This window comes from Homo sapiens, chromosome 3 (genome assembly GCF_000001405.40).
Source record: "Homo sapiens chromosome 3, GRCh38.p14 Primary Assembly".
NCBI lineage: Eukaryota > Metazoa > Chordata > Mammalia > Primates > Hominidae > Homo > Homo sapiens.
In genome coordinates this window covers 154294855-154320000 of record NC_000003.12, presented here as the reverse complement: position 1 = coordinate 154320000, position 25146 = coordinate 154294855, and the positions used below count along the sequence as shown (strand labels likewise).

General features: G+C 35.1%; 1 protein-coding gene across 2 annotated transcripts in view; it reads left to right on the top strand.

Annotated features, from left to right (window-relative positions):
• The window catches only part of DHX36 (DEAH-box helicase 36), a 51942-nt gene that overhangs the window by 4487 nt on the left and 22309 nt on the right, over nt 1-25146 (top strand). The window contains exons 2-13 of one of the 2 annotated variants that reach the window (NM_001114397.2): nt 3838-3962; nt 4721-4955; nt 8327-8365; nt 10178-10348; nt 13706-13785; nt 14833-14907; nt 15029-15195; nt 16591-16672; nt 18874-19014; nt 19305-19407; nt 20076-20163; nt 24704-24717. In NM_001114397.2, coding sequence (NP_001107869.1) covers nt 3838-3962; nt 4721-4955; nt 8327-8365; nt 10178-10348; nt 13706-13785; nt 14833-14907; nt 15029-15195; nt 16591-16672; nt 18874-19014; nt 19305-19407; nt 20076-20163; nt 24704-24717 — 1320 coding nt within the window. Of the gene's footprint in view, nt 1-3837; nt 3963-4720; nt 4956-8326; nt 8366-10177; nt 10349-13705; nt 13786-14832; nt 14908-15028; nt 15196-16590; nt 16673-18873; nt 19015-19304; nt 19408-20075; nt 20164-24661; nt 24718-25146 lie in introns of both variants that reach the window. The other variant, NM_020865.3, reaches the window with a different exon arrangement.

Sequence of the window (25146 nt, the reverse complement as noted above, 5' to 3'; positions counted from 1 at the left end):
CGGTAGGGTGGCAAGTGAAACAGAGATTCAGAAGTGGAACATTTTCCAGTAGTTTTGCTGTGAAGATGAGGAAGAAAAATAGTGCCGTAGCTGATAGGGGTAGGGGAATTCACGAGAGGGTTTTTTGTTTTTAAGGTGAAGAGATTTGACCATGTTCATGCCCTGAGGGAAGCACCCAGTGAAGAGGAAATCAAAGTGGGCAAATCAAAGTGGGCCAAATTATGCTGCAGTAATAACCAACCCCCAAATCTTAATGGTTTATAACAAGCAAGGTTTGATTCTCTACCACATTACTAAAAGAAGCAAACCAGAATATCGGTTGACTGCCTAATGTCTACTGGAGAGGTTAGAAATTTAGGAAAGCAAGGTAAATTTCAGTGAAGGAGGTGGCCCTGAGGACATGAAAGGAACTGGACTGCAGAGCTCAGGTTGAGGGGTTAGCCTTTAAAATGCACTTCTTTTATAACAAGAAAGAAAAGAGAAAAGGATAAATTCTGATACAGGCGGGTTTAGGTTTGGTGATAACCAACTGAGGACCTTTTCTTAGGGCTTTTGTTTTGTGAAAAACTGCGTGTGAATGCTGAGGGCAAACAAAAGGGTGGTATTGGCCTGTTACAGAGAATGGGGAGACAGTGTGAAGTAGTTGCAGATAATTAGAAAGCTGATAACATAAATTTGATGGACATCATTTAGGGTTTCTTGCCAGGAACTGAAAACTAGAAGCAGGGTATTTGAGAATGTCCAAGAAAGTGGGAAATAATCAAAATTCTATGATAAAAGAAAATAGTCATGAAAAAAATGTGTTTTGAGATTCTCCAGGCAAGGAGTGAAATAAAGTGAAGCGTGGTAGAACTAGAAGAAGGTTGTTGAGGGGGAGAGAGGCATCCTACAAAAAGGCAAGATCCAAGTTTGGAATTAAGGTATGTTCTCTGCTACCTGCAGCATCCAGAAACTCATTGTGGGGAGAACATCATTAAAAATACAAATGTTTTTATTTAGAGTGTAAATTACATTTTCAAGGGCTAATCATACATGCTCATTGTAAAAGATTCAGCTGTTCATTCCTTCCATTGACAGACTTCTCTGGGGCACATACCATGTACCAGAATTATATCTGGCAGAGACACTGCAAGAAGTATAGGATATGGAGAGTGAATAACCTCTTTTCAAATTAATAGTAATAAAAACAAGATCCTACTACACAACTGACTTATTTAATACTTTGGTCATCTTTCCTGTTTATATACTTGCAGAAAGATCTACCCACTGTTAACCACTGGGTGTACTACAATTCAACTAATTCCTTATTGATTAGCAGATGCTTACTTGGTACATATGCATTGTGTAAGGTATCTTAAAGTCTACCAACTGATGTTGACTTTTTAATGAAAATGAATTTTGTTGTGATAGTTTGGACTGGAAGATTGTGTAGATCTGTTTATTTTCAGTAGACTGTTATGTTATCCAGTAATTCACCTTTTCCGGGGGCGTGAAATCTCATAAAATTAGAATAATCTTTTGTGCTGTTACGGGCAGGAAGTGGGCAATGTATTGTGAAATGTCAATCTAGGAAATTGTTTACTAAACAAAATATAGAGTAATGAGTTAACATGGAAAAGTGAGAACTGTAGGAATAGCAGATATAGGTTATATTCTAACTAAACAGATACATCAAAAAACCTTAAGAGGACTTTTAGTAGAGACATTTTATGTCCTGACAACTGAAATTAGCCACTCATTTTCACTTCAAAAAAGGAGGTAACATATAGTTCATTTGCTTTGCTTCTTCAGGTTTGTTGTTTTATCACTGATTTCTCATATTTATTACATTAGGTTATCCTCCTACCCATGTAAACTTATTTGAGCTTTCACAAAGCATGTAATACTGATTAGAATTAGAATGTCTTACAAAACCCTGTCTCTTGTCTTAAAGATGCTTATGTCTTGTTCTCCTGGGACACATACTCCTCTACCCACCCTGGGTTTTCAAACTTTATGTTAAACTTTGTTGTGACCAGCTATTTTGGTGTTTGTTTAATTGGGATAGAATACAGTGAAGAGAAGATAAGAGTTGCACTGTACAGAGTAAGGGAAGTATTTTGTGAAATTACTTGTATATGTGTGTACTGGGTCATTAGTTTTACTGTGGATTGCTATAAAAAATAAACAATTGAAATCTATTGCTCTAGATTTTACAGTATTTTACACATTGCTGTCTGCTTTCATCAGTCTCCTTACCCTAGCTCCTGCTTCCCTCTTTTTTCCCCAAAAATCAAAACCAAACCTCAAAAACCAAAAATACCTTGAAGATCATTCCCAACTGCCTAGTTGTTGGATACAGTAGTAATTTTTTCAGTTCTCTGCCTTACTTACGTCCATTTTATACTTCTGAGTCCTTTTTTAACACCTTTCTTCACTTCATAGGAGTGGTTTTCTCACTGTGTGCTCCTAGTCTTTTGTTTGTTCTCTTGATTACTCCTCTGACTTATTTTCTTGCCTTGGCCCCGTGAATGCCAGACTTGGTCATCCGTCTGTCCTCATCTTTGGAGGTGGTATTATTTGTAAATTAAGAGAATTCCTGTGTCTCTGTGATTTCAACTTTGCAGAACACTCCAAAATTTCTATCATAACTCTAAAAACAAAACCTCTCAGAGATCAATTTCCATATATTCATCTACCTAGTCATTATTACAAGTCGGGAAATTTCATCTTTGTTCTTAATTGCCTAAAATCCAAACTTAGCATCCTATTGTGACCTCCATCACCACCACATGTACACAAAAATGTACAGTAACACAGAGCAGCTTCCTTTTAATGATTCATCTTACTGCTGCTCTCTCAGGATCCACCCTTGAATTTGAAAACAGTTCTTTGATTCTTTCTTCCTTTTTGTCTCTCCCCAACTTCCACCAAATAGTCATTAAGTCCTGTGGTTTCTTTCTTTCGATTTTTGACTGTTTTCTTTCCATTTATACTTTTACCTTCCTCCTCCTTTGGTTCTTTAACCTAACACACTCTAATTTTCACCACTCCGCGTGTGTTTCCTTTTGCCTGTGGATTTATATGCACGTTAGAACCTAAGGTTTGTAGTCCCATAAATTTTGAAGAATCTGTTTTTCAACTTTTCAACTTACTATATCTAAATATAAAAGTCTCCAAAGAATTGGGTTTTGGCATTCATTCTCTTTTTTTTTTTTTCACCTTGGACATTTCTTAGATGCGTAAAGTTTCTGCAAAGTTTCATAGTTCACCAAGGACCTTTATATTTGTCCAGTCTGTTGTGTTTTATTCTCATTCTTTGAAGCAACTGCGTCATTTGCCACATTGGATCACCTTATAAGCACTGATGAATTTTATTTACTCCTTCTGAGCTCAGCCTTACTTACCAATTTATTCTTCTGTTTAGTGTAAGAACTTTCAAATGTTCATTACAACCAAACTATTTCCAGTTTTCAACTTTTTTCGTAAACCATTTGAGTTTTAATAACTTTGAAATTTTAAGATAAGGAGAAATTCATAATAATTAGTATGTGAGGGTTTGGGGTAAGAGAACCAGAGTTGTAGGAAGAGACATAAATGAGCTTTCTTTGCCAATCATATTAGGGCTAATTTTATAAATGCTTGTTGGAAAAGGTCTAGAAGGATATGTACGAAAATTTTAACAATTAATTAGGTCTAGGAAGGGGGGTATTGGGCTAGAGGACACCTGTGGATAACTTTCTTTTATATGTATTTGTTGAACATATATTACTTAGCCTTTATTTTCTTCAGTATCAAATAATTTTTGCATATGCTTTCTTATGTTGACAAGGATGCTTTTTTCTTTGCACAAACTAGAGAGCTGTAGTACACATGGATGAACGACGAGAAGAACAAATTGTACAGTTACTGAATTCTGTTCAAGCGAAGAATGATAAAGAGTCAGAAGCACAGATATCCTGGTTTGCTCCTGAGGATCATGGGTACGACAAGAAATATTTTTTTAAAGAATAGGCAAAGAGTAACACTTTAATAATAAAAATAACATCTTTATTTTCTTCGATAAGTGAATTTTAACCTTTACGTACTTTTTTTCCTTATGTAGATTAAACAGATTTAGAAAATGACTTTTAAAAATTTAGATGGCATGTTTCCATAGGAAAGCTAAATGGTATGAATAATAGTGTATCTGGATATGAGATGTATTAAGTTGTTATTTATTGTTCTCCCTACCTGTCCTCTTTGTATTTATGAAATTATTCTGTCTGGGAGATCTGCAAGAAGTGAAATTGCTACCGTTTTAGAAAGATTACAAGAACTGTATCATTTAGAGGAAAAATTAGTACAAGTATTTCAAAGACTGTGTATTGTAGCATCCTATTTGTAGCTCAGAAAGGGTGGCAAGAAAAAAAGATGTTGTGACATAAAACAAGTTCGAGAAATCCAGAAAAAGAGAAACACTGTAAGTAACCGCAGTGAAGGAATGACTATTCTGTGGATTTTTATTTTTAACTATCACAAGGAATAACTTAATCTGGCAATATCTATTTAAAGGGAAGAAAAATTTGAATTTATTATAAGAATCTAAGTATATTTTCATAATTACTGTACTAAGAGAAAAGAAAAGCTTTGGATTTGGATGACTTTGAAATATTTCAACAGCGTATTGTTTTGTTTTGTTTTGTTCCAGTGTTTGAGTGGCTCATCTGACCTTTCTTCCTTTCTTATTTTGTCAAAACAGATACGGTACTGAAGTTTCTACTAAGAACACACCATGCTCAGAGAACAAACTTGACATCCAGGAAAAGAAGTTGATAAATCAAGAAAAAAAAATGTTTAGAATCAGGAACAGATCATATATTGACCGAGATTCTGAGTATCTCTTGCAAGAAAATGAACCAGATGGAACTTTAGACCAAAAATTATTGGAAGATTTACAAAAGAAAAAAAATGACCTTCGGTATATTGAAATGCAGGTAGTAGAAAGATGTCAAAAAATATTTTGTCATTTTTTTCTTACACTTTATAAAAATGTATGTATGGTTAGAGGTAGCTGCATGGCATAGATCAGTGAGATCCTCAACAAGACATCCCTGTGGGAATTAATTTCTTTTCGAATGGTAGAGAAAAGCAGTGGGAATGGAAGTTACACATAACCTACAGTATCCTATCTCATCCACAGAAGCTTATGTGGTGAGAAGAAATGTTTGAGAAATGCTAGTGCCAATGAAAAAAAAACTTACTCTTCAGCTTTTCTAGGCCAGTTTAGTGAGGTGCCATGTGCAGTAAAGGCAGTTAAAATTGTAAAGCTTGTTCCAGATTACTTAATACATCTTCTTTTTATAGATGATAAAATTAAATATTTCAAAAATTATGTGATGTGCTTTGTTCACTAACATTTTAAATACAGGACTATCACAACACCTGAGATCTCCTGAATTCTGATATTTTCTTTCTATGCTAGGCAAGATATTTTAAGGTCCCTTTCAGTTAAAACATAAAATTGTGTGATTTGTGGGTGTTCTAGAGATGTAATAAAGTGGTCTCATGTATGTATGTATATGTTTAAGAGAAATTACTGAGGAAACTCTGAGGGCCATATCTTTAATATGTAAATACATACTGCTGTCTTTGATAAAGGAAGGATATAGCACCTCCTATAGGAAAGAAAGGATCCCTTGGCTCACTGATGAAAGCTGAATTTCCTTAATAGGAAAGAAAGGATCCATTGACTGTTACTGATGACAGTTGGATTTCCGTATTAGAATAGATAAGCTGAGGTTGTCCAGGGCCAAATTGTGTAGCTCTTTGATGCCTGTTGGGTAAAAATGTGATTTGAAAATGGAGGAAATTTCAGGATGAATTAATTGAGAATCTTCTGGTTGAGAAGAGCTGCTTTAACAGCCTTAACAGGAGGAATTAGTGTCTTTCTCTTTGCTGTATATGATGGACAGAACTCATATACTAAAGATGGGTGATTGATCTAGTTCAGAGAAAGAAAAATGTGTAAAACATTTAAAAAGTTGGTGGTCTTCCTATTTCCCATATGTTGTCATAAATGCTTCATGTGTACTATATTATTTAAGCTTCTCAACAACCTTGAATAAGAGACTACATGTCTGTTGTAGATGAGGAAAAAGATTTAAGTGACCTACCTGAGGTTGCATAGCTCATAACAGAATCAGATCTAAAATTCAGCTGTGTTTAACAACTCAGCTTTTTAATCATTTTTAGCATGTGCAATATTTTTTCTTTATGTTCTTTAATAAACATTAATTTTCTACTTACTGGATGCCAGTTACTGTGCTATATATGTGTGCGTGTATGTATATATATATATTTAAGACAGGGTCTCACTCTGTCACCCAGGCTAGAGTACAGTGGTGCCATCATGGCTCACTGCAGCCTCGACCTCCTGGGCTCAAGTGATCCTTCCACCTTAGCCTCCTGAGTAGCTGGCACTACAGGCATGTGCCAGTACGCCTGGTTAATTTTTGTATTTTTTGTAGAGACAGGGTTTTGCTTTGTTGCCCAGGCTGGTCTTGAACTCCTGGGCTCAAGCAATCCTCCTACCTCCACCTCCCCAAATTCTGTAATTATGGGAGTGAGCCACACCAGCCAGTTATGCTTATTACTGTTTTTGAAGAGTAATAAGATATTTCCTGTCCTCAGAGAGCTTATAGTTGAATTATCTCACATCTTCGTTATGGTCAAAAGTTAACAAAGTAGAAACTTTGGCTGCCTTGGGAAAGAATATTGGACTATACCTCTCTTTCCAGTGGCATTTACATGTATAAAGCAAATACGATTAATGCCAGTTTGAAATGCAGTGGGATAGCTTGTGTATAATTATGTGTTAAGATGGTAACATTTGACTACCTGGGGTGTTAATACTTATGTCATTAAAAATAGTTTTTAGATAATTTAAAAATTATTACAAGATAAGTAAGTTATTACAAGGTAAGATAAGTGTGGTAGCTTTTGTTATTTTAAATGACTAGAATTCATTTCAGTCTTCACATTGACTGTTATTTTTATGGTATTGGTAAGAATTACCTGACCATAACAAACATGGCAATAATATAATACTAGATTACCAAAGACAGTTCTTTATTTATTTTATATATATATATATATATATATATATATATATATATATATATATATATTTTAATTATTTCCTTTTTTTTTTTTGAGATGGAGTCTTGCTCTGTCACCCAGGCTGGAGTGCCGTGGCACGATCTCGGCTCACCACAACCTCCACCAATTCTCCTGCCTTAACCTCCCAAGTAGCTGGGACTACAGGCGTGTGCCACTATGCCCAGCTAACTTTTTGTATTTTTAGTAGAGACGGGATTTCACCTTGCTGGCCAGGCTGGTCTCAAACTCCTGACCTCATGATCTGCCTGCCTCGGCTTCCCAAAGTGCTGGGATTACAGGCGTGAGCCACCATACCCAGCCGATTTTTTCCATCTTAATAAAGGGTGTTTATTAAAGCTGACTTTATTTTTATGCCACTGAAGTTTTTTTTTTACATTATATGTACCTAGTTGAATGTAAACTACAGGACTGCTTCTTAAATGTTTTTATGTAATACGGGTATAGAGTTCCATAAAAGTTTTCAGAATTAGGAAGAAATTGTCACATAAATATAGGAAAAATAGTCATTCCTTTTGTAGTATTCTAATTGTAATTTAACACATTTGAAATTCATTGAGTAGCTTATATGTTTCAGAAACTGGTATTTGCTTTTTATATAAAGGTTTTTCATTTAGATCTTGTGGCAACCGTATGAGATAAAATCTTTGAGGCATTCATACTTTAAGTTTGACTTAACTGAGATCACAGCTCTAAAATGGCAGTACCAGATTTTCTGACTGCAGATATTACTTGTTTTAAGTTTTCTCTTACACTCAAAGGCAAGTATATCCTGAAATTTTTGATTCTGCTCCAGTACTTAATGTATTAGTAAATAGTGCACTGTTGGGTGGGAAAAACATAATATAGAAATCAAATCTAAGATGAATATATAAAACATATTGAAAAATAGTGAAAGTAATTTAGCAATTATTAGAATACTGTTAGAGGACAGATCCGATTTCATTTTACTGCCACTGACTTAAAGCATTGTCTCTATTTTGCTGGATGTAATGGAGTTCTGGTTTTGAATGTTTCAGACATAAAAGGAATTGGTAAATTATTCTTTATAATGTTTTTACACAAGCCATGAGATAATAAAAATACTTTCGGATTCTAGCCAATTTACCCTGTGATGTATCCTAAATACCATGATTATAATTTGATTACATATCTTCTGTGAAAATTTAAAACTTTTTTTAAATTTCAGCATTTCAGAGAAAAGCTGCCTTCGTATGGAATGCAAAAGGTAAAGTGCTTTTTTCCACTATTTAATTTGATTTGCAAATTAAATACACAATTTTTTTTAAAGCTCTATATCAAGAAAAAATGTAAATTAATGAACTTTCTTTTACAGGATAGTATTGGAAGTTAATTTTATTCTTTTGAATTAAGGACAAAAAGAAAAAAAAGGTTCATAAACAATTTTCCTCATGTTTGCTCCTGTTTTTGTCCATAATTGAAATCTTTGAAATTTAAAAAGTAAAATTTCCTCCTATAAGTTAGTTTGGATAAATACCTTGCAGTTAAGTCAAGACCAAATACTTCAGTTAAAAATAATATACAAATTATTGTATTAATTAAAATCAATGTACAAAAAAAGTACTACTAAAAATACAGTTAATTTTAATTTATTACACTATATCTTAACATATGATTACCCTATGTAGAATAATAGGATCTCTCATCCTTCTCTGTTTTCTCAACCTTATTTTATTTTATTTTACTTTATTTTTTACTTTTCATAGCACTTGTTACCACCTGACATCTGTTTGTCTTCCCCTCCCAGGCCAGTGTAAGTTCTTGAGGATAGGATTTGTTTTGTTCACTCTGTGTCTCTTGACTCAGAACAGTGCCTGGCATTCTAAAGACTTCCAGTAAATAAACTTCTGATTGGATGAATCACATTTCACTTCTGAGTATTTACCAGCTATAATTTCAGTGTTCAAACTTAAAACTTTTTCTGATATATACACATCTATGTATGTATAATGTGTTAGAATAAGTGGGGAATATATATATATGTATATACATATATATATATATATATATATATATATATATATATATATATATATTTTTTTTTTTTTTTTTTTTTTTTTTTTTTGAGAGGGAGTCTTGCTCTGTTGCCAGGCTGGAGTGCAGTGGCGCAATCTCGGCTTACTGCAAACTCCCGACTCTCGGGTTCAAGCGATCCTCCTGCCTCAGCTTCCCGAGTAGCTGGGGTTACAGGCACCCACCACGCCCAGCTAATTTTTGTGTTTTTAGTAGAGATGGGGTTTCACCATGTTGGCCAGGATGGTCTCAATCTCCTGACCTCATGATCCGCCTACCTCAGCCTCCCAAAGTGCTGGGATTATAGGCATGAGCCACCATGCCCGGCCTAAGTGGGGAATTTTTAAAAGGTAGGTTTTCAAGTTAAATTGTTTTATACATGAAAATAACCCCTAACATCCCTTTGAGGTAGTAAGATGACTTCGTTTATACAGTGAATATTATTATTAAAAATATTAATGTATACAATTTTGAGGAAGAATGAAACCCAAATATGAGGTTTTCTAGATAGCTTTGGTTTAGATATTCAATGACTTTATTTTAATTATTTGAAAGGAAGTAATTTTAAAATACAATATTCTCTTCCTTGCTCCTAAAATGGCATACAAAACTTGTTCTGCAGACAAAGCCATATTTATGAATTATATAAATTTGTAATGTCCTCAATAGTTGTTTAGGCCAGGAGTTTGCTTCTGTACTCAGTAGCCCCACATATCAACATTATTTTAATTCTTCTCCATGGAACTTATAAGCTGTCTCTTCTTGTTTATGTCAATATGTTTTTCTTTAACAGTGCTTTGGCTTTGTTCTTTATAATTTGGTGCACTTATCTCTTGCAGGTTGGTAGATCCAGATATCCAAACTGCCAGTATTGGATATGGCAAAATTTAGAAAGCATTAATATGTTTGTTAAAAATAGCTATGTTCAGTTTGGTCGAATTTTGATTAATATCTTTTTTCAGACTTAGTCAACATGTGATATTCTTTATTTTCCCTTTTGAAATAGGAATTGGTAAATTTAATTGATAACCATCAGGTAACAGTAATAAGTGGTGAAACTGGTTGTGGCAAAACCACTCAAGTTACTCAGTTCATTTTGGATAACTACATTGAAAGAGGAAAAGGATCTGCTTGCAGAATAGTTTGTACTCAGCCAAGAAGAATTAGTGCCATTTCAGTAAGTAATCTCTTAACTTATTAAAAATTGTCTTTTTAAAAGTAATCTTGCTAGAACCTACTGATTCTGAAGGTGTGGAGTGATTCTTAATTAGGCTTAGGATTGGTGACTATGAAAGCAAATAGTTGCTTAACATGTTTAATAATAAAGCCCAAAAAATTGAGTAACCTCTCTCTTAACAGATAATAGATATTTATGAATTCAAGATAAAATTGATATCCAGGCAAATTTCAGTACATGTTCACAAGAATGAAATAGATAAAATATTTATAGAATTGATTACAAGCTTCAAATAATCTCCATCATTTGATTCTTTAAATTTTACTACTTGGTTTATTTAACTTTTTTTTTTACTTCTGTCATTTTTTGAGTATGTAAATACACTGAATGGTGGTGAAAGTGGGAAACCTTGTTTTTTTTTTTAAGCTGCATTTCTGTAGTCAGTGATTTATTTATTTATTTTTTGAGACAGGGTCTTATTTTGTCACTTAAGCTGGAGCGCAGTGGTGATAACACGGCTCAGTGCAGCCTCAACCTCTAGGGTTCAAGTGATCCTCCTGCCTCCGCCCCCCAAGTAGGTGGTACTATAGGCATGTGCTACCATACCTGGCTAATATTTGTATTTTTTGTAGAGATGGGGTTTTGCCATGTTGCCCATGCTGGTCTCGAACTACTGGGCTCAAGCGATCTGCCCACTTCAGCCTCCCGGAGTGCTGGGATTACAGGCATAAGTCTCTGTGTCCAGCCATAGTCAGTCATTTTTGAATGCAGCTACTCAGTAAGAGGAAATTTATGAGGAAAAATAAGGTATTGTTTCTGGTTTGTCAAGTCCAAAATTTTGGGAAGGCATACTTAAGTAACAGTTTATAAGTAACTTTTAGTTCAGGTTGACTATACGAAATCCAGAATGCTCCCAAATCCAGAACTGTTTGAGTAGCAAAATGGAAATGCTCACTAGAGCATTTCACATTTTGAATTTTCAGATTTGGGATGTTTAACAAGGGCAAGTATAATGCAAATATTCCAAAATAGAAACCGGAAACACTTCTGGTCCTGATCATTTTGGCTAAGGAATACTCAGCCTGTACATTGATTTTGTTGTCGTCATCGTTTTTAGTTAGATGACCTAGTTAAATATGTGAGTTATATATTTTTTAAAGGTGTTTGGGGTTTCTTGTCATATTTCAGTGTGCATAGTGAATTTATTTATGCTATATAATTCTGTGTATAAATTATAAAGATTTGTGTTTGTCTTTGGTTTTATGGCAGTGCTGCTTATCACATGTCTAAGTCATTTAATATAGAATCTGTGGTTAAAAACATTACCAATTATGACAGCACTTGGCAGTAAATACAGTATATGTTTTAAGCTTTGGTTTCTAAGAAGTACTATAAAGAAAGAGCAGTAGACTTCACCCCTTTTTAAAAAGAAGTGTGTAAATTTATGGGATACAAGTGCAATTTTGTTACATGCATAGGTTGTGTAGTGGTTAAGTGAGAGCTTCTAGGTTGTCCATCACCCACATCATATACATTGTACCCATTAAGTAATTTCTCATCATCTGTCCTCCTCCTGTCTTCTCTTCTGAGTCTCCATCGTTTGCCATTCCACACTCTATGTCCACATATACCTGGTTTTTAGCACCCACTTATGTGAAATATGATATTTTGTCTTTTTGTGTCTATTTCGACATGATTTCACTCTTACAGCTAAATAGTATTCCATTGTGGTGTATATATACACCACATTTTCCTTATCCAGTCATCCATTGATGAGCACTTAGATTGATTCCGTATCTTTACTGTTATGAATAGTACTGTGATAAACATGCAAGACAAGTATTTTTTTTTTTTTGACACATTGATTTCTTTTCCTTTGGGTAGAAACCCAGCAGTGGGATTGCTGGATCAAATGATAGCTCTATTTTTAGTTCTTTGAGCAATCTCCATACTGTTTTCTATAGAGGCTGTGCTAATTTGCATTCCTACCAACAGTATGTAAGAGTTCTCTTTTATCCATGTCCTGGCCAAGATCTATTATTTTTTGACTCTTTAATAGTAGCCATTTTGACTGGGGTAAGATGATATCTCATTGTGGTTTTAATTTGCATTTCTCTGATGATTAGTGATGTTGTGCATTTTTCATATACCTGTTAGTCATTTGTATATCTTCTTTTGAAAAATGTCTGTTCTTGTCTTTTGCCCTCCTTTTAAGGGGATGATTTGTCTTTTATTGTTGTTGTTTGAGTTTCTTGTATATACTGGGTATTTGTCCACTGCTGGATGAATAGTTTGCACATATTTTCTTCCGTTCTGGAAATTATCTGTTTACTCTGTTGATTATTTCTTTTGTTGTGTAGAAACTTCTTAGTTAATTCCCATTTGTCTATTTTTATTTTTGTCGCCTGTGCTTTTGAGGTCTTAGTCATAAATTCTTTGCCTAGACCAATGTCCAAAGGAGTTTTTCCCTAGGTTTTCTTCTAGTAGTTTCAGTTTCAGGTAGTCTTCACCCTTTTATGGGGACTATATTCCAGGAAATTGCATAAAATTACAGAATGGTGAAAAATAAACCACTTTTGTCATAACACACTTTTGTAGCTAGACTTAAATATTTTCACTAATATATAGCAGTTACTGTATATGCTGATAGTAGGAAGAAATGCTAAGTAGGTAATTTTTCTCTTCTTTTTTCCACCATCTGTTGGAATTTGAGTAGACAGGTTAATGTGGTCTGTCAGTGTATACTAGATATACTTATTGGAAAGTTTTACTTGTAAAGTATTATTTCTTACAAATTATGCCATTTTCTATTTCTAATACCTTATTATCACTGTTCTGTCACAGAATAACTGTTGGTTACTTTTAGTTGTACAAATCAGTATTAGATTATAACATTTCATCTTTCCAAATCTTATTTTTGGCAGTCATAACTTTCAAAACATGACCAAGAACTAGAAATTCAACACCAGTCCCTACCACAAACAAAAACACAAGGGAAGAGTATCAATATGTAATTACTTTCAAATTACACATAACTTCTACAAGTTTAGATCTTGATTTACAACTCTTAGAAAAGACCAGAAAAGTATAAATTAATGAGAGGATGCTATAGAAAGGCACTTTGAAACTAGTGATGAGAGAACTTGGCCTTAAAAGACTTTATAAGAGGAAATGAAAAATAAACAGCTCTTAAGAGAGGCACACACTGTTTTAGATACCTCAGATTTTAATATCTATTTTTTTAACTCATTTAGAAATCTGAAGAACAATTTTTCAACAGTCCTAGATTTTCATGGACATTCAGGATATTTGTTCTAAAGGAAATTATATTCTCTTTATGTTTTATTTGAATTAAAGGTTGCGGAAAGAGTAGCTGCAGAAAGGGCAGAATCTTGTGGCAGTGGTAATAGTACTGGATATCAAATTCGTCTCCAGAGGTAAGAAATGTTCACTTCTTATATACAGGCAGATTTTAGTGAAACTTTGAAGCTGGAGATTCAAAAGAAAGGATATTTTCCCCATTTTTATGATGGTTATTACTATTACAATTACCATTTAAAGTAACTGCAGCGTAGATGACTTGCTGCCACAAATTTATCTTTTAACCCCACATCAGACTTGTATTGCCTTTTTTAAATGATGCTTTTATATTTGGAATGATTAGAAAAATAAACATTTTTCCTGGACATAGATTAGTAGACCATTACTCTCTCTGAAAAGATTGTGTAGACCTTTCAGTACCACCTCCATATACTTCCGACTGACTTTTTATTGATTTTGATATCTTAACCCCCTATCCAACTCCACTGTGCAGTACATAGTTGGTCCTTTTCTGGAGCTTAGGACTCCATTTGCCTTTTTATGTTTTAATTTACTTAATGTTTTTTAGAGATAGGTTCTCACTCTGTTGCTCTGGCTGAAGTGCAGTGGTGCAGTCAACTCACTGCAGCCGAAGACTCCTGTGCTCAAGCAGTCCTCCCACCTCAGCCTCTCAAGTAGCTGGGCCTACCGGCGGACACCACCACAACTGGCTAATTTTTTTACTTTTCGAGCCTGGATCTCGCTGTGTTGCCCAGGCTGGTCTTGAGCTCCTGGGCTCAAGCAACCCTCCCATCTTGGCCTCAAAGTGTTGGGATTACAAGCCTGAGCCACCATGCCTGACACATTTGCCTTTTCAAATGAGCTTTCCAATTACGAACCAAATATTTAGGCCCCATAAGTAATTCAGTTGTTGTCTGAATGTGAATGGTCGTATCTTTTAAAAGAAATTAACATTATATCAATGACAACAAAGATAATGTATAATGAACTTGAAGTATTTCCCATTACCCCATTGTGGTAGGTGTTCTTATAAGTAAAAAATTAAGTGTGAAGATTTTCATTAAAACTGAAAGCATTTCTAAAATTGAAGATATAAACCTTTGTGGTAGTTAATTATTAGAAGAGAAAACCAAGGCTTATTAATTCATGTCTTTCATTCACAGTCGGTTGCCAAGGAAACAGGGTTCTATCTTATACTGTACAACAGGAATCATCCTTCAGTGGCTCCAGTCAGACCCGTGAGTATGTTTCAATTAAGGAAATATAAGTGTTATCAAAAGATGTAATTATTAAATTGGATTTTACTAGTTGTTAAAGAAAAATGGTTTTAAAATTTTGTACTTCACACTTCTGCCTTAGGTATTTGTCCAGTGTTAGTCATATCGTACTTGATGAAATCCATGAAAGAAATCTGCAGTCAGATGTTTTAATGACTGTTGTTAAAGACCTTCTCAATTTTCGATCTGACTTGAAAGTAATATTGATGAGTGCAACATTGAATGCAGAAAAGTTTTCAGAATATTTTGGTGAGTAAAATGTATAGTTATTACATTAGAAAAGGTACTAGAAAAACAATTAAAAAAATTAATATGGTACTAGGTAAAGAGTAGTCAAAATGAATGTTTAGCTGTTAATTTTATTTTAATATTATTCTACCCTCCAGTTTCATGGATTAGACAATTGGGTCTATTTTTAAATGGTGGCATCATCTCTCATAGTGAGGACAGGTAGCTTCTTGTTGCTACCACCACACAATTAAGATGGCATCATTGAAGTCAAACCACAGATTTGCATAATTTTATAAACTTCTTTCTGTTGTTTTTCTGTGGCTTTTATCACAGGTTAGGGTGGCAGTTTGCTGCTAATACTGCTAGTGACCACTTATGGAACACCTTCAATGTTCCAGGTAGTATATTTGCCACTTTGTCTTCCTTAGTCTTTATAACACTTTATGAGGTAGTTGCTATTATCATTCACATTTTTACAGATGAGAAAGCAGCCTCAGAGCAGTTAAGTAGGTTTCCCAAGCTGAAGCTAGATTGGACCAGCTGCAAAAGCACATTCTTTTAAAATTAATCCTCACTGTCTTTCCTGCTTATACTTGTGAAGGAAGGAGGGGGAAAGGGAGGGAATTACAATGTAATATATTTATGTTTAATAAATGTTCTTGTCATCAGCTTTTTAAAAGTCCTTTAAAATACATCCCAGTTAATACTGAAAACCATGTAAGATTAGTTGGGGTAGGTGTTATTATTGTTATTTTTAAATGAGACTTCTAGAACTAACATTGAGTACTTTGCTCAAATGTGTGCACATCATGGGTAGAGCAGTGATACCTACTTAGGTATTTTGACCTCTGATGTGATGTTTGCTTTTTACAGTGTGTACTGCTTGTTTCGCTTGTTATGAAATGTAAAGAGCATTTAAATAACAGTACCGAAGTGATTTTTTTATTAGTAATTTTGAAATAGTAACAATCTATTTGTTTAGGTTTTGTTTTGATTACCTTTCTCCGCTAATTCCGGGTGCTACAAGTAGTAATGCTTATCTAGAATTCAGTAAAACTTTGATATTCTGGATATTCTATTATGGCACCATCTGGGTTAATGATGAAGAGAAAATAGACTTCTAACTAATGGATTTTGAGTTCAACTTAAAACTCTATTCTTTGATATTCTGTGTTATTTTGTAGAACTGTGAGATGTGTGTACAGTTTGGTAGCAGTAAAATGGTATTGAGTGAAGACTAGACTGCTGTTTTTTATTAAAGTAGGTGTGGAAAAGTAGGGTAGAATTGTAAAAGCTACAGGACCATTTTCTGGAATTAATAGTAAGTAATAGAGTCATTGTCCTATTTACAGTATATTAATGTTTTTAACATTTGAGTACAAATTTATGCTTATATTTTGTCTGCCGTAATAGGTAACTGTCCAATGATACATATACCTGGTTTTACCTTTCCGGTTGTGGAATATCTTTTGGAAGATGTAATTGAAAAAATAAGGTAAGTAAACATTAGGAAATAAAAAACATTAAAAAGTACTAATATATCACTTTTCTCATGTCAAACTTTAGTCTCAGAAACCCATCATTGACTATTTCCTTGTAAAACATTTTTCTGGGAATTAGCCACACTTGGCTGCACATTAAAATTGCCTGGAGCTTTTTAAAATCCAGATGCCTGATTTATACTCCCTACCTAAATTACATTACAGTGTCTGAGGTAGTAGCCAGGCATCCGTGGTTTTTTTTAATTGAGACAGAGTCTCTCTCTGTCGCCTAGCCTAGAGTGCAGTGGAGCTATCTCCGCTCACGGCAACCTCCGCCTTCCAGGTTGAAGTGATTCTCCCACCTCAGCCTCCCAAGTAACTAGGATTACAGGTGTGTGCCACCATGCCCAGCTAATTTTTGTATTTTTAGTAGAAACTAGTTTCACCGTGTTGGCCAGGCTGGTCTCAAACTCCTGACCTCAAGTGATTTGCCTGCCTCAGCATCCCAAAGTCCTGGTATTACAGGTGTGAGCCACCACGCCTGGCTGGTGTCAGTGTTTTTTGAAGATTCCTGGGCAGCAAAGTTTGGGAACCTTTGTCTTTAGTGTTTGAACCCTTTTGCTGGTTCTCCTGCCTGATTTTCACTTTCCTTTGTTGGCTTCCATTGCCGAACCTTTAAATATAATTTCCCCCAGTCTTCTCAATCATTTATGTTTTCACTGTGCAAACCTGTTTATATCCCTAACTGTAGTTCTGTATTTTCACAGCTTTCAGTAGTGTAGCTTCAGAACTGAAGCTTCTCCTGACCTTCGAACTGGCTTTCTGCTCAATAGTATTCTAGTACCACAGATGCCTTGAACCTAACATTTCTCAAGCCTAAATCATTATCTTATATTCTCCCACCAAAAAAATAAAACAATGTGTCTTGCCCAGCATACTTTATAATGGTTAATAATTATCCTCCACTTAGTTTTCTGACCTATAAATCAAAAAGTTAGTGTGTATCAGGCAGTTATGTACCAGGGTATGGCAACTGTTTTACACAGTGAGTAACCAAGTTAATCCAAGTCATTTTGTACTGCCTTCAAACACACACAAACTCTGGGAACTTTCTTCTTGAACATGCTTTCTCATTTTTATTTCTTTGCTAAGGTCCTTACTATCTCTCCTGTGCTAATACAATAGTTCCTCTTTTGGTACTATGTTCTTCACTCTTAGGGAAGCACTCTTTGTGCTATACATGAGGCTTTATCACTTTTTTTTTTTTTTTTACTTTATCACATTTTTAAAAATCTCATGCCAGTACTGTTACAAACATTAATCTCTCAAATAAGATAACTAAAGGCCAGATGTTTAATGCCTTGTCTAAGGTTACACAGCTAGTCAGTAGCAGAGGAGGGATATTCTGACTTGGGAGTCCATGCTCCAGCCCCTCCCCCATTCCATCTAGATGCTGTCCTCTAGTTGAGCTCAGAGATGCCTTGGGGTTAAAGTGTGGGTTCATTTTTGTCTTTTCCCACCTCGTGCCTCTCAGGACTGACAATGATAGGTAGAATTATTGTCCAGATGCGCCCTCTATGGTTTTAGCAATCACTACAGGATGGTAGTAGAATCATAGTACAGCACTCAATTGACATATGAGAGACTTGAATACTGATTCTGGATCTGCCATTAACTACAACTGTGTGACTGAGCAGAATTAAATAGTTCTCTAGCGTGGGTCTGTAGATCTGGATACACTATCTGAATCTCCTGCAGGCACTAATTAAAATTCTTAGATTAACAGACCCAAGGCATACCTACCAAATCCAAATCATCAGGGATGGGATTTAGGAGTCTGTATTTTACAAGCTCTCTGAGGGATTCAATTCTTACGTGCAGTCAGGTTTGGACTTAACATTAATATTAACTTTTGTTCTAAAGCAAACTTAAAATAGAAGGTAAAAGTTACTTACTTTAGTCTTTTTCTAAATTTTTGACTAAAAATGATCTATAGGTTTATATACTTCAATAAAGAAGAATGATTTTTATCCAAAATATCAGGTTTTATAAGTTAATGAACACAAACTGATATTTTAGCTAGCATTCACTTGAAAGCATAATGAAAATGTTCTTTGGAATCCTTTTTGAAAATCCTAAATATAAAATGTCACAGATTTTAGCTAAAACTAGAGTTTCAAAAAAGTGAAGATATTCAAGAATGTTTTTATTTTAGGTATGTTCCAGAACAAAAAGAACACAGATCCCAGTTTAAGAGGGGTTTCATGCAAGGGCATGTAAATAGACAAGAAAAAGAAGAAAAAGAAGCAATATATAAAGAACGTTGGCCAGATTATGTAAGGGAACTGCGAAGAAGGTAAGTTTATTTTGTCTGAAGGTGAGAAATCAGTGGCTAAATAAAACAAAAAGCCAGAGGCTGGGGGCATCTTCTTGAATCTGTACGTACTTAAAGGAGAGCATTGTGAGTCTCTTATTCGAGCTAAATATTGTGCTGATTTGACTTTTAAGCAGTAATTACCCCAGTAATTCTCTCCGATCTGTAGATTATGTTCCTCCATTTGCAGATTGAGTTAATTTTAAGCTTTTGTAGCAAGTTAACAGAAAACTTGATTAAGTATTTCATGACTTTGTGTTTAACTTTGATAGGTATTCTGCAAGTACTGTAGATGTTATAGAAATGATGGAGGATGATAAAGTTGATCTGAATTTGATTGTTGCCCTCATCCGATACATTGTTTTGGAAGAAGAGGTTAGTTTTATTTTTCTTTCTTCAGTTAACATAATTTTAATTTTATTAACGTATCAAGGCCATGAAAAATACAGTTTTCTTAAATGCTTATGAAATAGACTGGAAGAAATTACTTTTGATACTAGAAATCATCTCATAGTAGCAAAAGATTTAGGCATTTGACCTGTTTGAAGAAAAGACTAAACAAATATATGGATTATAAATCTCATTTTTTAAAAGTGAGCTTAGCTGGATGCAGTGGCTCATGCCTGTAATCCCAGCACTCTGGGAGGCCAAGGCAGGTGGATCACTTGAGGCCAGGAGTTCGAGACCAGCCTGGCCAATGTGGCAAAACCCTGTCTCTACTAAAAATACAAAAATTTGCTGGGCGTGGTGACACAGGCCTGTAATCCCAGCTACTTGGGAGGCCGAGCATGAGAATCACTTGAACCCAGGAGGCAGATGCTGCAGTGATCCGAGATCATGCCATTGTACTCCATCCTGGGTGACAGAGCAAGACTCTCTCAAAAACAATAATTAAAAAAAAAAAGCTTATATACTTTTAATTATTAACGAAAATTATCCTGAGCTAGTATAATTTTAATGGAGACTTCAGTGTGCACACAATTTTACTGTTACTGCATTTTGTTGATGTGATCCTTTGTAATGGTTATTTCCCCTTCATATAGGATGGTGCGATACTGGTCTTTCTGCCAGGCTGGGACAATATCAGCACTTTACATGATCTCTTGATGTCACAAGTAATGTTTAAATCAGGTACTATGTAAATGTATTTTACTGTAATTCAAAGAGTGGTATTTGAATTATATATGATGTGTATTTTTTTCTTTTATTCAAAGAAGTGTTGCTTCTACTAGGTCACAGATGAAGGTGAAGCTTTTTATTTAGTATTATGAAGAGAATATTTTCTTTCTTTTTCACAATTTGCCTAATAAAATTGGCTCTTAAAGCATAGGTATGTGAGGTTTTTCATTTTTTCACTTACTGCTGCAAAAAAGAAATCCCTTGGCCCAGTGTTTCTGAATTCTGAGTATACAACAGAGTCACCCATGGAGCTTCTTTAAGATTCAGATACCTAGACCCCATCATCACCCCAAATCTAAGAATGCGACCTGAACATCTGAAGTTGTTAAAAATTCCTCAAGTGATTTTGATCCTGTATGAACAGCATATTTTGAAACATATAAACTCTAGAGAAATGAATGAGAACCTTTTTTTCTATAAAATTTAGAGTATTTTCAGCAATCATTAACTTCAAATATAAAAACTACAAAGAAAATTCTATTTAATTTTTACAGTTCTGAATATAATTTTTTTATTTTGAGATGGAGTCTCGCTCTGTTGCCAGGTTGGAGTGCAGTGATGCCATCTCGGCTCACTGCAACCTCCGCCTCCTTTGTTCAAGCAGTTCTCCTGCCTCAGTCTCCAGAGTAGCTGGGATTACAGGCATGTGACACCATGCCCGGCTGACTTTCTGCATTTTTAGTAGAGATGGGGTTTCACTATGTTGACCAGGCTGGTCTCGAACTCCAGACCTGAAGTGATCCTCCCATCTCAGCTTTCCAAAGTGCTGGGATTACAGGCTTGAGCCACCACGTGTGGCCTCTGAATATAATTTCTAACCCTACTCTGTTGAAGTGCTTTTGACAAAATTAATTATTTATTTATTAATTTATTTTTGAAACAGCATCTCACTCTCTTGCCCAGGCTGGAGTGCAGTGGTGCGATCTCGGCTCACTGCAACCTCTACCTTCCAGGTTCATGAGATTCTCCTGCCCTGCCTCCTGAGTAGCTGGGACTGCAGGCACCTGCCACCACGCCCGCCTAATTTTTTGTATTTTTAGTAGAGACAGGGTTTTACTGTGTAAGCCAGGATGGTCTTGATCTCCTGACCTTGTGATCTGCCTGCCTCGGCCTCCCAAGTGCTGGGATTACAGGCATGAGCCACCACGCCCAGCCAGACAAAATTTATAGGCACTAGAAAATATTTTGATCTAATTGTATTGACTAAAATAATAAATGTATATATTTATTATTTGTTAAATCCTGTTATGCTCTGAAAGCATTCTCTGTAATTAAAATTATTTACTATCTAGCTTGCAAAGTATTTTGATCTAATTGACTTCTCTATAAAGAAATACTGCTTTCTGTTTTCTTTTTGTGTGATAACTTTATAGAAAAATTTGTCATGATTAGACAGCTGAATTTTTCAAACAACTAGAATTTTTTTATTGGCTAAATCTAACTCTGGCCTTTCCTTCCCCCATTATTATAAACATTATTGTATAGTGTACTTATAATTTTAAAAAATGTGTGTGCATATATTTACCAATGAAGATAAGATATATACCAAAATATAACGTTATCATTTAGTGTATGTGATGGAGAGTGGGAAAAGGGTATATTATAGATTATTATAATTGACTTCGTTAACTTTCTAGTTTGAATTAATTATTCTCAAGGAAAGAGTTGCTAATGTATACACTTCCACTACCAGCTCAATTCCTTTTAAAGGAAATCTTTCCAGAACTTGAGTGTTTTTTCTCAAATTATGTTGAAAAAAATTTAGCCTTGATAATCAGTTGTATAGTTAACCACTATCATGGGGAGAAAATTGGCCTAACTCTGTGCTGAGAAATTGAGTTTTGAAACTCAGTTTATTAAATGCTTATCAATTTCTTGTTTTTTTCTTTTCATAAGAGTATAGATTTTGTTCTCATTAACTCTCTTAGTTGTATGGTGTCAACAATATAAATTTTTTTTCCCAATTATATAGTCTTCAACAGAATTGTTTTTACTTTTATTATCCCTGGCTAACTTTTAAACTTTTTATAATGAAACATTTTAAATATACAAAAAAACTAGAGACTTTTTTTTTTTTTTTGAGGTGGAGTCTCGCTCTGTTTCCCAGGCTGGAGTGCAGTGGCACGATCTCAGCTCACTGCAACCTCCGCCTCCCAGGTTCAAGCAGTTCCCTGCCTCAGCCTCCCGAGTAGCTGGGATTATAGGCACCCATCACCACACCTGGGTAATTTTTGTATTTTTAGTAGAGACAGGGTTTCACCATCTTAGCCAGGTTGGTCTTGAACTCCTGACCTTGTAATCCACCTGCCTTGGCCTCTCAAAGTGCTGGGATTGCGGGCGTGAGCCACTGCACCCAGCCAAAACTAGAGAATCTTAATGAATCCACGACTTCAGTGCCAACAATTATTTTTTCAGTCCTAGTTTTTTCTTAAAGTCAATTGCAGCTGTCACATTTCATTTCTAAATGTATAAGCAAGAATCTCTAAAGGCAATTTTCTATATAACCATCATGTCTTTATCATACCTAATCCTTAATACCATCTGATAATCCAGTCTGTAATCAGATTTTCCCATTTTTCTGAAAAGTGTCTTTCACAACTAGCCTGTTCAAACTATAGAAAGTGTCAACATCTTTTGATCTAGCTCTAGAACATTGCTCCCCTCCACTCCCTGCTTTTCCTCATGGTAATGTAAAGTCATGGAAAAGACCAGGCCATTTGTTCTCTAATAAGTCCAACTTTCTGAATTTGTGTGACTCTTTATGCTATCATTTCATTTGATTCTCTCTTACCTTTATTTCCTGTAACTCGAAAGTTATATCTGAAAGCTTGATTCAATTCAAGTATTTTTGGCTTGAATATTATAGTTGTAATATTTCATACTGTCACAGAGACAAGTAATTCAGAGGATTCTTTTTTAGCAACATCAGTTGCTTGGCAGCTGTTCACTACTTTTTATTTTTAAGATTCGTAAAATCTCTTCACAGTCAGAGTCCATGGGGATCATCATATCCTTTAGATAACAACAGTTCTTTTCTGGGGAAGTATAGCTGACTTGAATCATTTGGGCATTTAAGTCAGATTGTATTTTTGTAAGCATAGTTAAATGTGAAATTAACTCTTGCTTTCTTGATACTCTCCCTTTCACCCATCACTGTATTACACCAGACTTTCTGTGTTGGCTAATAATTGTGAATGGGCTTGAGCTATTTCATTTGGAAACTTAAAAAGTAGGAATTTCTTATATTTTTAACAAAATATGTGTAAAATGTGGGTCACTTTTGGAATGTATTATTATTATTATTATTATTATTTTTGAGACGGAGTCTCGCTCTGTCACCTAGGCTGGAGTGCAGTGGCGCGATCTCGGCTCACTGCAAGCTCCGCCTCCCAGGTTCACGCCATTCTCCTGCCTCAGCCTCCCAGGTAGCTGGGACTACAGGCGCCCGCCAACACGCCCAGCTAAGTTTTTGTATTTTTAGTATAGACGGGGTTTCACCGTGTTAGCCAGGATGGTCTTGATCTCCTGACCTCGTGATCCGCCCGCCTCGGCCTCCCAAAGTGCTGGGATTACAGGCATGAGCCACCGCGCCTGGCCTGGAATGTATTATTTTTAACAAGGACTATTTCATTATTTTCTAACTAGGACATGGGTATTTAATAAGTAATTTGCTCTAAAAATTTAGATATTATCGGTTTGATTAAAATAGTGAGGATTGCCAGGTGCAGGGCTCATGCCTGTAATCTGTAATCCCAGTACTTCGGAAGGCTGAGGTGGGTGGATTGCTTGAGCTTGGGAGTTCAAGACCAGCCTGGGCAACATGGCAAATCCCCATCTCTACAAAAAATACAAAAATTAGCCAAACATGGTTGTGCATGCCTGTGGTCTCAGCTACTCGGGAGGCTGAGGTGGGAGGATCACTTGAGCCCAGGGGGCAGAGGTTGCAGTGAGCAGAGATCACACCACAGCAACGGGCAACAGAATGAGACCCTGACTGAACAACAAAAAAATAGGATCACCCAAAGTGTACAAACGTATTCATGTTAAACAGAATTGTTGCCTATTCATTCAGTTTTTATTGGTGTAATTTGAAAAGATTACTCCCAACTTTTGAGCATTCTTTAAGAATTTGGGGAAAATACTTATCAATATGAAATAAACTAACAGAACAAAATGTTAGCTTGAACTTGGAGCGCTCAGAAAACAAGACTATAAAGAAATTAAGTTGGTCTGTTTGTATGTAGAAATAAAAATAAAGAATTTTTGGTTCACTTAAACACATGGGCAGTTTGTCAACTCAGATGGTTTAGCTGTTTTCATTAAATAATGTTCAATGTCTTATCAAAAAAAGAATTGAGTGGTTCAGCTTCTGAATTCATTGTCTCATATGTGTTTGATGGAGCTTTTCTGCAACTCTTTATCTTAAAATTTAATTCTCTTTAATTTTCAGATAAATTTTTAATTATACCTTTACATTCACTGATGCCTACAGTTAACCAGACACAGGTATGTTAAATGGATACATTTGTTAAATGTATTTCAAACTGAGGCAAGCTTTAAGGACTGCTTGTTACGTGTTTTCCTTTATTTTTTTTAAGGAGTATTTTCAAATAGTAATTCATGTAAAAAAATACTTCTTTGAGAACCTTTGCAAATGAGTCTTCAGGGGATGATTGCTCAAAAACTTGAATATCAGCGGATAACCCACAAATCAGATTAGTTTTGTCTACATTAGGAAAAAGTTTAAAGAATTGGTTTCACCAGTAACTTCGTTGAGTTTCCTGAGTAAGAGAAAAAGGTCTGTGAGTACTACTAAAAGTAACCAAACCTAGAAATTAATGATCTGTGACATACTACAGTTTGATGATGATTTGAGATTTAATTTCACAAAGCTAGTATATTCACAGGTATAAAATTTCTGTTTTAATAATGTAT